General features: G+C 42.4%; 1 protein-coding gene across 19 annotated transcripts in view; it reads left to right on the forward strand.

Annotated features, from left to right (window-relative positions):
* The window catches only part of HECW1 (HECT, C2 and WW domain containing E3 ubiquitin protein ligase 1), a 453,355-nt gene that overhangs the window by 329,407 nt on the left and 111,664 nt on the right, over nucleotides 1-12,284 (forward strand). For 10 of the 19 annotated variants that reach the window (XM_017011883.3, XM_006715670.4, XM_017011882.2 and 7 more), the window contains 3 exons: nucleotides 476-576; nucleotides 2,162-3,517; nucleotides 8,775-8,876. In XM_017011883.3, coding sequence (XP_016867372.1) covers nucleotides 476-576; nucleotides 2,162-3,517; nucleotides 8,775-8,876 — 1,559 coding nt within the window. The remainder of the gene's footprint in view (nucleotides 1-475; nucleotides 577-2,161; nucleotides 3,518-8,774; nucleotides 8,877-12,284) is intronic. The other 9 variants (NM_015052.5, XM_006715671.4, XM_017011884.2 and 6 more) reach the window with 3 other exon arrangements.

The following is a 12,284-nucleotide window of genomic DNA, read 5'->3' on the forward strand; positions in this document are numbered from 1 at the left end:
CAGCAGCAGCAAGCCATAGCTCCCAGTCAGCCATGTGATCACAGGGTAAACAAGTGATACTGTACTCTACAGTAGACTGTATTCAATAAATTACATGAGATATCCAATACTTTATTATAAAATAGTTTTGTTTTTGTGTTACATGATTTTGCATACTTGTAGGCTAATGTAAGTGTTCCAAGCACTTTTAAGGTAGTCTAGGCTAAGCTATGATGTTTGGCAGGCTAAATGTATTAAATGCATTTTTGAATTGCCAGTATTTTCAACTTTTGATGAGTTTATTGGGTCATAATCCATGGTAGTTCAAGGGGCATCTGTATTCGATAAGGACTTCCTTACAGTTTTGTATTGCTGTTGAGCACATCAGGACTTCCCTGGGCTTGCCTGCCTCACCCACTGGTATAGAAAGCACACTGCATGGTCATTAGGAAGAGAGGTATTGACCAGAACTGTGATGGTGCTTATTTCCTTCTAGGGATAGGGTGGTCAGCTACACACTTGGCCGCAGGCTTCCAACAGATCATGTGAGTGGACAGCTGCAATTCCGATTTGAGATCACTTCCTCCATCCACCCAGGTATTTTCAGCATGAACTTCATGTCTTGTCCTAGGCTAGTGTCATAAGTGTGGTTCCTTTTTCTAAAATACAATAACTATGGTTCTCTCCAGATGTATCCTAGGTTTTGTGGTTATCTTCTCCATTTGAGGTCCAGAAGCCAGTGATCTATTCTGGAAGCCAGGTTGCTGTCCCCCTGATAGAGAAGCTCCTCTTCATTCTAGTGACCCAAAGGTACAGAGTAGACAGTGGACTGAAGGTTAACAATGAGGCCAACATGGATAGGGAGTTCTGTCTTATTTATCATCCTACCCCCAGCACCCACATAGGTGTTTAATCATCACATACATGAATGAATGAATGAACGTGAAACATCTTTCTACCTAGTAACTAGATATAGACTAGCCAGTTGCTGAAGAATGTCATGTTGAAGAACTATAATTGTACAATGAATTTTTATAATATCACAGAAAAACAAGAAAAGTATAAATAGGACAGAAAACTCCAGAATCATCCAGTGTTCCATTTAATGCTAAAACAGATTTCAAAATACGAATGATAAGATGCCTCATAATTTTATTTTTGCTCTTCTTCTGCAGCCCCCATACATCTCAATATAGATCATACTGAGAACTGTTAGGACCTCCTGGACCATTTACAAGTTGCTGTTAAGTCTAATGAAGCTCTTGAGAACTTAGAGCCTGGAGTTTTTCACTACCCACTCATTAAACTCCAGGTCTACTTTCCTGTGCCAATATACAACTTAGATTGTAAGAAAACACCTTGACTATTTTGTCTTTTCAAATTCAGTCTATTTCTATATTCTGAGAATACAACTGACTCTTCCTTTGGTGTAGCCATAAGGACAGCTTTACAGCTCACCAGAGGGACTGATTTTCTTTAGTGACTTGCACTAATGCATTTGAAATGGGGAATTTCACATCTGGCAGGAATCCAGTAGAACAGCTGCAGGAAGGTAGAGTTAAACACTGGCTGGATGCTACCTCGTGAATGGCTGCTTGAGGTGAAGACCTTGTTTTTTTTAAATTGGAATAAACTCTAAATGTTGGGAACCTTCCAGCCTGAGATATTGAATGACTGTGATTGTTCCTATTCTTCATCCAGCCTTTGAAGAATCTGGTTGCCTGAGAATCCTGCTTACCCCTTATGCCACCCTGCAGGACCTAAGCATAGGAAACATTCTGAGCAAATGCAATTAACTAAATATAATCATCAAGGAGCTATAAATAACACCACTACTACCCTCATCCCTGGAAGTCATTCCATGTGGCAAACACTGTTGAGCACCTACTATGTGCCCAGAACTGGGTTAGTGCTAGGCTTTGGGCATTTTAACCAAAAGATGAATTCCCTTTTTGAATCGTATTTCGGAAATATATCCATGACTGCAAGTTGTTGTTAACATAGCAAGAACTCATTCTTACAGAATTTTTCACTAGAGCTCTGGCCAGTGAGAAACCCTCATCAACCTACATTCAATATCCTAATGTAGAAATCCCTTAGTGATGGCTTACATGTCCCACAGGGTATCCTAACACCACAATGCTCTCTTCTGGGAGAAATGACATATTTTTCTTCTTACCAGCAGATGATGAGGAGATTTCCCTGAGTACCGAGCCTGAGTCAGCCCAAATTCAGGACAGCCCCATGAACAACCTGATGGAAAGCGGCAGTGGGGAACCTCGGTCTGAGGCACCAGAGTCCTCTGAGAGCTGGAAGCCAGAGCAGCTGGGTGAGGGCAGTGTCCCCGATGGTCCAGGGAACCAAAGCATAGAGCTTTCCAGACCAGCTGAGGAAGCAGCAGTCATCACGGAGGCAGGAGACCAGGGCATGGTCTCTGTGGGACCTGAAGGGGCTGGGGAGCTCCTGGCCCAGGTGCAAAAGGACATCCAGCCTGCCCCCAGTGCAGAAGAGCTGGCCGAGCAGCTGGACCTGGGTGAGGAGGCATCAGCACTGCTGCTGGAAGACGGTGAAGCCCCAGCCAGCACCAAGGAGGAGCCCTTGGAGGAGGAAGCAACGACCCAGAGCCGGGCTGGAAGGGAAGAAGAGGAGAAGGAGCAGGAGGAGGAGGGAGATGTGTCTACCCTGGAGCAGGGAGAGGGCAGGCTGCAGCTGCGGGCCTCGGTGAAGAGAAAAAGCAGGCCCTGCTCCTTGCCTGTGTCCGAGCTGGAGACGGTGATCGCGTCAGCCTGCGGGGACCCCGAGACCCCGCGGACACACTACATCCGCATCCACACCCTGCTGCACAGCATGCCCTCCGCCCAGGGCGGCAGCGCGGCAGAGGAGGAGGACGGCGCGGAGGAGGAGTCCACCCTCAAGGACTCCTCGGAGAAGGATGGGCTCAGCGAGGTGGACACGGTGGCCGCTGACCCGTCTGCCCTGGAAGAGGACAGAGAAGAGCCCGAGGGGGCTACTCCAGGCACGGCGCACCCTGGCCACTCCGGGGGCCACTTCCCCAGCCTGGCCAATGGCGCGGCCCAGGATGGCGACACGCACCCCAGCACCGGGAGCGAGAGCGACTCCAGCCCCAGGCAAGGCGGGGACCACAGTTGCGAGGGCTGTGACGCGTCCTGCTGCAGCCCCTCGTGCTACAGCTCCTCGTGCTACAGCACGTCCTGCTACAGCAGCTCGTGCTACAGCGCCTCGTGCTACAGCCCCTCCTGCTACAACGGCAACAGGTTCGCCAGCCACACGCGCTTCTCCTCCGTGGACAGCGCCAAGATCTCCGAGAGCACGGTCTTCTCCTCGCAAGACGACGAGGAGGAGGAGAACAGCGCGTTCGAGTCGGTACCCGACTCCATGCAGAGCCCTGAGCTGGACCCGGAGTCCACGAACGGCGCTGGGCCGTGGCAAGACGAGCTGGCCGCCCCTAGCGGGCACGTGGAAAGAAGCCCGGAAGGTCTGGAATCCCCCGTGGCAGGTCCAAGCAATCGGAGAGAAGGTTAGACCTCAAACCTGATCAGAGTGAGAATAGGACCATCAGGGGGACAAAGGTGTCACCAACAGTTTAAAAACAAGAAGGGCGGGGGATCGGTGTCAAACGGGGTTGCTGGGGCAATGTATGCCTGTCTTGTATATACATGTGTGCATGTGTATCTGTGTATGAGCATAGATGACTGTGAGTAGCTGACACCCCACAATGTCTCAGATACACACCAGGAATTACGACTGGTTGGATGTGAGCGTGCACTTGTATGTGTGCTTCTATGTTTGTTTTAACTAATCACCAGAACTGGTTAGTGTACATGTTATCCTAGTCTTAACAGCAGCCAGAGCCCCAAGACTAGTATCAAATGATATACATGGGAAAAATCTATCTACATTAAATGGATAATGTGTAAATATCTGCTGACTTTCAAAGCACATGGAAGATTAGCAATAGATGTTAATATTAGTTGAAGAACAGATTTTACCTCTGTTTTAGAATTCAACTAGCCCATGTACGTACATATAGATATGTCTAGCCTACATATATTTGTCATTATTTATGTCCACTCAATTCTTGTTATTACTGTTGGTTTTGTTTTGTTGTTGTTGTTGTTGTTGTTGGCTATTTTGGCTAATGGAAGGGAAAAATAACATGATTGTGTATAAATGACTTTGTTTCCAATAAGAATCAAATCCAAAAGCTGCCACCATTAGTTTTAAAACGTATTCTGTGTTTTAACCAAAGATGTTCTTTCTTAGTCATGCCTGTGGAATTATATGTGAAATTAATTTGCATTTCCTTATCCAGGAGTGGAAACTGTCTTCCAGTCAAGTGACAGTGGTATGACTGGGAAAAAAAATTGAAAAGTCACATAATAATATGAAATAATTCAGTTGTTTTAAAAGAGAAAAACATAGCCTCTGCTATTTTGCTGTTCTGCTGTTGAAATTAGCCTCCAACAAAAGGCGGGGATATTTTCTCTAGATTGTAAGCTCATCAAGGGCCAGAGTTGTGTTTCTTTATGTTTGAATTCTTAGCACCTAAACAAACCCCTGGTGCCTACAAATTTTTTTTTTAACAGGAGCTAAAGTGAGCATTAAAAAAAATAATTTTAAGTATTCAATAATGCCCGCTTCTACATTTCAGAAAAAGAGTGAGAGAAGGTGGCACATGCAATAATGAGAAACGCAAGGAAATTGGTAGAGAAAAAGAAACACAGGCAGAAAGGTAAAACAGACAGCATGGAAAGGTACCCACAAGGAGCGGGATGGAAAATCCCTCCTGTGAGTAGAAGGGAATGGGAAATGCCTTTCTTTCACAAGGATGTTTCGAGGACTTCCTTTATTCTAGGCCAGATGTAATGCACTGGGCGCAGGAAGATGGAGTGGCATCAGGTGATGTATGGACATTACTCGATAATTACAGCATAATTAAAATAATACAACAAAAGGAGATTGGGGGATTCCCACATAAAAGGCACACATAGGAGCTGGCAGGGATGTTGGGTTACAGAGGTCTGTAGATTTTTCCTGTGAAGAGCCAGATAGTAAATACTTTAGGCTTTGTGGGTCAAGAGGTAAAAAGCTAAATAACTGTTCTCACTAAAAAGCTTTTTTTTTTTGTATTAAAAAGTGTACTGACACTTTTCTTAGCTCAGAGCCATACAACCCTGTTTTAGTGCACAGTTTTTTGGCCCCCATGTTGGGAGATAATCTACACATGGTCAATTGAAACTTGGCTCAATGTAAATTTATATAAGATCATGTTTTACAAACAAAAAAGTCACATCCTTGCCCTTTAGAGGCCAACAGTCTAGCAGGTGGAAGAGCAGGAAGTGTTTCAGGGTCACAGTGGACATCTCTGAATTGGCACTGGCAGTTTCTAAAGAAATATCTAAGTTCCTGAACTCTGCAGAGTGTAAACTCAGAAAAGGTTAAGAAGCACCTACATGCTTCACTATGGCGATCACAAGGGGAAATAAAAAGATTCCCGAGGGGTCTCTTGATCTGCTGAAGGCCATGCACACGCTGGCATGTGACTTCTTCCCAGCCATCCTTCCCCGCCTCAGCAGTGAGTCCCCAGGCTAACCGTGTCTGCATTGTGGGACTGTCCTTCACTTGCCACCAGGCTTCACAACAGCAGATGCTTCAAGAAAGCAGGGCTTTAACATGACCTGCCTGATACGTGATTGTGTGGGTGACCTCTGCTTCCATAAAAATCCCTATTGCTCCTTCGCCTTGACTTCTAAGATTGCAAATTCCTTTACTGTAGAAACTGCATTAGACGGCTGGGTGTGTGGGCTCACGCCTGTAATCCCAGCACTTTGGGAGGCCGAGGTGGGTGGATTGCCTGAGGTCAGGAGTTCAAGACCAGCCTGGCCAACAGGGTGAAACCCTGTCTCTACTAAAAAAAAAAAAATACAAAATATTAGCTGGGCACGGTGGCGGGCACCTGTAATCTCAGCTACTTGGGAGGCTGAGGCAGGAGAATCACTTGAACCCAGGAGGCAGAGGTTGCAGTGAGCTGAGATCGTGCCATTGCACTCCCAACTGGGCAACAAGAGCAGAACTCTGTCTCAAAAAAAAAGAGAGAGAGAAAAAAAAACTGCATTAGATTAACCCAGGTGGATTTGTTGTCCACGTGCCCACATAGATAAGGCTGCAACAATTTATAGAGGAACACTGTTCTAAGTCTGAACTGACAACTATACAGGCTAGTATTCTTTTCATACTTTTTGCTTTATTTCCCTCTATAAATACCTCCTTTTTAAAAGTTTAATTTAAAATAGTTCTTGAAAGACCTTCTGCAGATAAATGAAAAGAGTAACATAATGTCATTGTTATGAGCTCAGGCCCTGGAGTCAGGCCTCCTGGATTTATATTCACTCCTCCCACTTCCTCACCAAGTTACCTAGCTGTTCTGTGCCTCAGTTTCCTCATGTGCAAAATGGGTATAATTACAGAATCTCCCTCAAAGTGTTGTTGGGAAAATTTAATGAGATGATACTACAAAAGCACTCTGCTTCCCACCAAGTGAGGGTTCTTCCAGGCAGACAAGCAGTGAGGGTAACTGTTTATATTATGTTGTATAAAGCATCTAAAACAATCCTTTGAATTTGCATTTCCTGTACTTTATAATTCAAGGGAAATTTTCACATTATTAGGTATAAATCACTTTGCTTCAAATAATATGCAAGGCAACCTATCTTTCTCTACAATTAGGTTATATTATTTATAAATAGAAGGGAATTTAAAACGACGTTGCTTGCTTTTAGCTGAGGAATAGATCTCTTTCTGGGAGGTTCTGGCGGGTTTCAACACTTGCTTTGTGTTTGAGGCAAGGGTGATGATGTGGAACCCTGTCCTTGTGCAGAATAGAACTGCTTGCTTCTTCAGTGCCTCCATCCATTCAGTCGGCTGAGACATGTTGGTCACATCATTGCATTTGCTTGGGGTTCACAAGCAGGTGGGATCAGCTGCATTAACCCCAGGCAGTCAACAATGTTGTATTTCCACTAGCTTGGAGGAGTAATTAACCTGATTGGTTGCATTAATTTCAAGAGGTAAGTCTATTGTTGATTTTAAAGAAACTAAGTTAAAAATGCAGCAGCTGATGACATAACAACTATACCATGGTTTTGTTTAATTTCTGACACTAAACATGTATACAAACAAACATGAGTGTGGTATCCACTTAAACACAGAGCCCATCTTTGGAACAGCAGTCTGTCCACAATGAACTGGGTGCCGGCATGAGGGGAACCTTCCTTGTTTTCCATTAGCATCTCCAAGGACCCAGAGGATTTGAGTAACATAGCAGAATTTGCTCAACAAATAATGTTCTATATTTAACATTTAAAAGGACCCTTTGTTCCTGAATATATCTCTCCTTCTGTTTGCCAGTGAGCTCTAGGAATTAAATCACAAAATTAAACCCACCTTTCTTCCTAATTAATTTATTTTTATTTTTGATCAGTTCCGTAGAACTAGAGTGAGAAGAAATAACCATCCTTTCCATGTGTGGATATTCTAGGAAATATTCAGCATTTGAGATCCTACAACCATTTGACCACCATTTTTCAGTCTCTCTCCTTTTTGACCCAAGGGATAATGGAACACTTGCTATTTGCATCAGCAGAGGACAGAAGAAGGAAAAGGCCTGACCTTTGCCCTCTGGCCCTTAAAGGCTTTTGCAAGAAAACCAGCATGGTGTGAGGCAGGAGGAACCATCTGAAAAAAGGGCCATCCTTTGTCCCGGGCCCTTCTCACTCTGCAAAGATCAAGAGCACTGGCCTCTGATTATGTGACCCAAGCAGCTGGTGCTGCAGGCCTGCCTTCTGCATGGCTGCTCTACATGCCTGAGGACACCACTTCAGAACATCGTTCAGTTCATTATAAGTCCGAACTGAGAACAGTATAAGCTATGTCTGTTGTAGGTTTTCTTTTAATAATCTGAGGCATGCATCCTGTGGATATAATGTTTATTTCTAAACTTTCTCCATGTTTGTCTTTCTTCCTCCTTCTTTCCCATTTCTGTGTTTTGAGCTTTCCTGTCGCCGTCTTTCTGCTTTTTATCTACTTCCTTTGTCTCTTGTCCTTTCCTCTTTCCGGAGCACCCTGGCTTGTCTGATTTCTCCTCAAAATAATCTGGACAGTCCTGAGATCCCTCAGCCCCTTGGCTCCCCTCCCCAACCCCCCAACCTCCAGCTTTCCTACTACAGGAATTTACTTTCTTGGCTCGCCAGCTCCTTGACCTGTCTTGGTACCATCTAAGAGTTCATTCCCCTCAAAAATCTGAAAAACAGCCTTTCGGCAGCCCTGTGATGAAACCTATCCAAGTGAGGAGGTGTCATTTTGCATAAGCCCAAGGAACTTTTGTGGAACCTTATAAAACGCTGCATTTCCCTCAAACAGGCCTATTTCCTCCACTGGGCTAAAATCAGGCTCTGCTAATTTTCTCTTGTGTTCCTTTCTGGTGCCACTTTCTGATTCAGGAAATTCGGGTCATTACAGAATCAGACTCAAATCCTACATATTGGACTGTGTGGCGCAGATCATTAGTTATGAAGTGTTTTGATTTTCTTCTTTTTTAAAAAAATATTTCCCCCCTCACGAATGACTGTGAATGTAGCAAACTGACACACACACACAAATGGATTTCCCACTCTTTGGGGTTGTTTCTTGTAGTGCTTAGTTTTACAGTCATGCTTTTTTGATGATGTTGCCACGGCAGTGAATGAATCTGAATGTATTGACTATCTTGTCCGTAGGTGAATGTCCTATACTCCATAATTCCCAGCCAGTAAGCCAGCTTCCTTCCCTGAGGCCTGAACATCATCACTACCCAACAATCGATGAGCCTCTTCCACCAAGTAAGCTTTAGTTTTTAAAATCTGTGTCTTAACTCTTCCTATCAAGTCTAAGCAGGTCAGTATGAATTTGTGTGTAAACATCTAAAGTCTTTCCCGACTCCGTGCCTTACAGTGTTAACAAAGACCAATATGACACCTGCTCTAAAAACTGGTGGTTTTTTGGGGGTTTTTAGTTTGTTTTTTTGACTAATAGTTTCACCATGTGATCTTGAAGAGATAACACAGTGTTTTCAGTGCCTCTCAACTTCTGAAATGGAGAGCATTTCTCTGTTAGACTTGACTAGTCTTTGCAAACTGTTCATGACCTTTAAGTCCCAAATTTTACATTTTATATTTAAAATTTGCAGTTCAAGATAGAATAATCCTATTGTTCTCCATTGGATCTGTTACGTCACAAGCATCTCCATATGTTAAAACAACTTCAACCCATCTGGGCACATGAACTTGTACTTTCCTTACTATAACTTCCATCCATAGGGAATAGCTTCAAATTTCTTCTGCAGTTCTTAGGGGTTGCCAGGCAAAATATCATCTTTAAGATAGAATTCAATGTCAGTTTCTCCTGGTAACTGTAGTGGGTAATTAATAATTATCTAACTAGTCATCTGAACTTGGGAAATTCATTTAATCTCTCAGGGACTTAGTTTTCTCATTTGTAAAATTTAAAAAATAAAGTTTAAATGTCTCCATCTGCTCAATGAAAGATTTGACCTAGATAGTCTCTAGATACCATTCTAGCTTTAACTTCATAATACTCCATTTAATAAATTTATAGGAAGAAATTGATACCCCAGACATTATATATTCACTTGGCATCACATATGTTCATGAATTCTAGAACATCTCTGTTTTGGTTTTGCTTATTTTTCAAGCAAAGATAGTATTTAAGATTTGATAGATTTTACAACTACGAAATCTTTCCAGAATGCAAGGACCCAGTGTTTCTTTACATTCTTTTGCCTGTGCTTACATGAAGCAGTTACAGTTTTCAAAAGGAGAAGTGCTTATTTCTTAGTTCATCTGTTCTTGGTAATGTGCTGTACTTTACAGGAACACCACTCCTCTCCCTATTCAACTGTAATTTATTGGTGAGAAATCAAAGAACATCTTTTATATGTGGACTAATTTAAAGAAACACAATATTTGTTTTTCAAGGGCAAAGCCAAACATCATGTCCTTGAACTTTTGATGCCTGATTTCTTTCTTTCTTTATACACTGATTTATGGACATTCTATAAATGAAGAGTAACATTTTAGCATCACTACAAATACTTCCTAGGTAACATTTATTTGAAAAATATGTATAACATGTTATCTCCAGGAAAGGGATGCTTTCCCCACAACAAATAACCTTTCAATGCATGAATCTACTTCGAATCTGTGCAGTACAGATGACTAGTTATACATGCAAATATTATAAATGATTGTACATAAATCCGTTGTAAAATAATTGCTTTATATAAGCCACTTTCAATAATGAGAACAAATTTCTCCAGACAGCTTTCAGTTTTCTATCCATATAACAGTGAAAGACCTTAGAAAAATTGGTAATGAATCCTACCAACTGAATATTGTTAAATAATCTCAAATAGTACAAGAATTACCTTATTGCTGATATTCATTCATTCAACAAATATTTATTGAATGTTTGCCCTGTGCTAGGTACTATTGTGGGTAAGCAAAACAAAGATTCCTGCCCTCATGGAGCTTACAGTCTAGTCTGGAAGACAGATTAGCAAACAATAAAATAATTAAACAGGGACTGGCCTAGCATAGGAGATGCTATGGAAAAGCAAAAATAGACCAGGGTGAGGGATCTCTGAGTTCGTGTGGGGGTGGCTGGTTTGCAGTTTTAAAACAAGTGGTGAGAATAGGCTTCATTGAGAAGACAACACCTGAGGGTTAGGAGAGTTATCCCTGCAAGTGTTGGGCAGGAAGAGCTTTGCAGGCACAGGGAATGGCCACTGCCAGTCGGGAGTTGGAAACACCCTGCTGGGTTTAAGGAACAGGAGACCAGTGCATCTGGAGCAAACTGAGGAAGGGAGAAGGCAGCAGGTGATGTGGTTAGCGAACTAGCAAGGCCCAGATCATGCAGGGCCTTGTAAACCATTTAAGGGCTTTGTAAATCACTTAAGGGCTTTTACTCTGAACGAAAGGAGGACATTGTAGAGTTTTCAGCAGAGAAGTGACATTGTCTGCCTCAGGTTTTGAAAAGTTTGCCCAAGTTGCTGTGTAGGGAATAAATTGGGAAGAGGAAGGATAGAAGCATGAGATTCAACATAAGATTATGTCTTTATGCAGGAACCCAGGTGACAAACAATAGTAGCTTGGGCCAGGGTGGGAGCAGTGGAGGTGGTGAGGAGTGGTCTGATTCTGGACATATATTTTAAAGGTAGATTTGATGACAGATTGGATATGGATGTGAGAGAAAGATAGGTATCAAAAATGACCTAAGAGTTTCAACCTACAAAGATGGAGTTGTCTTCAACTGAGTTGGGTAGGAAAGACTGCAGGCAGAGCAGGTTTTGATGGGAAGGATCCAACACTTGGTTTCGATCATCCTGTGTTTGAGATGTCATCCAGGTAGTAATGTCAAGAAGGAAATTGAATGTGTGACTCTGAAGTTCAAGAGAAAGGTCTAGACTATGCAATAGTATTACATTTGTTAAAATTGTTCAAAATACACAGTTGTATAGGTTTTTGTTAATATAATAACTAAATATGATACATTATCAGGTTCTATATTGTTCTTGGACTTTGTGGAGAACATATAATTTAGTGTGCAATAGATCCTTTGGTCACAAATGAATTGACCTGACCTGCACTGCTATAACTTGCCCCAGAATCGTGAAGGTACTGTTTTCAGGTGGCTCTTTAGACAAACCCATGGCATCACAGTGCTGAGCCCTTCAAGTCATGCTGATGCCTGAAGTTCCATTTCAAATTTATTTCCTTTGGTTATAAAATATGTGAAAGTAAATTCTTTACAAAGCAACCCAGAAAACATGTTCATAATTTCTGATTACACTTAGCTATTATTTTCTGAATACATATGAGTATATAATTAGCACAATACATTCCAGGTATTTAATGTATTGACAAAAGAGCCCAGCTGTTTGGCTTACTACACTTTTCCATGAGGAATTGAAACATGTGATGATAAATTATCATTATTGCAGCTTCATTTTCTAGCTTTTTCCCTTAATTTATAAAAGCCAACCTTTGTCTGCGAAGGACCCCTTTCTTTACTGTAGGTTCCTGGAGGGCAGGGTCATGTGTCACTCATCTCTGTGTCCTCAGGACCTGGCACAGTCTCTAGTTCAGAGTGAGTGCTACACAGTTTGTTCAGTCAAATTAAATTCCACAATGCTCTTCAAAGACTAATGCTCATTTTTTGTTGGATGACAG

The sequence above is a fragment of the Homo sapiens genome, chromosome 7 (assembly GCF_000001405.40).
Source record: "Homo sapiens chromosome 7, GRCh38.p14 Primary Assembly".
Taxonomy (NCBI): Eukaryota; Metazoa; Chordata; class Mammalia; order Primates; family Hominidae; genus Homo; species Homo sapiens.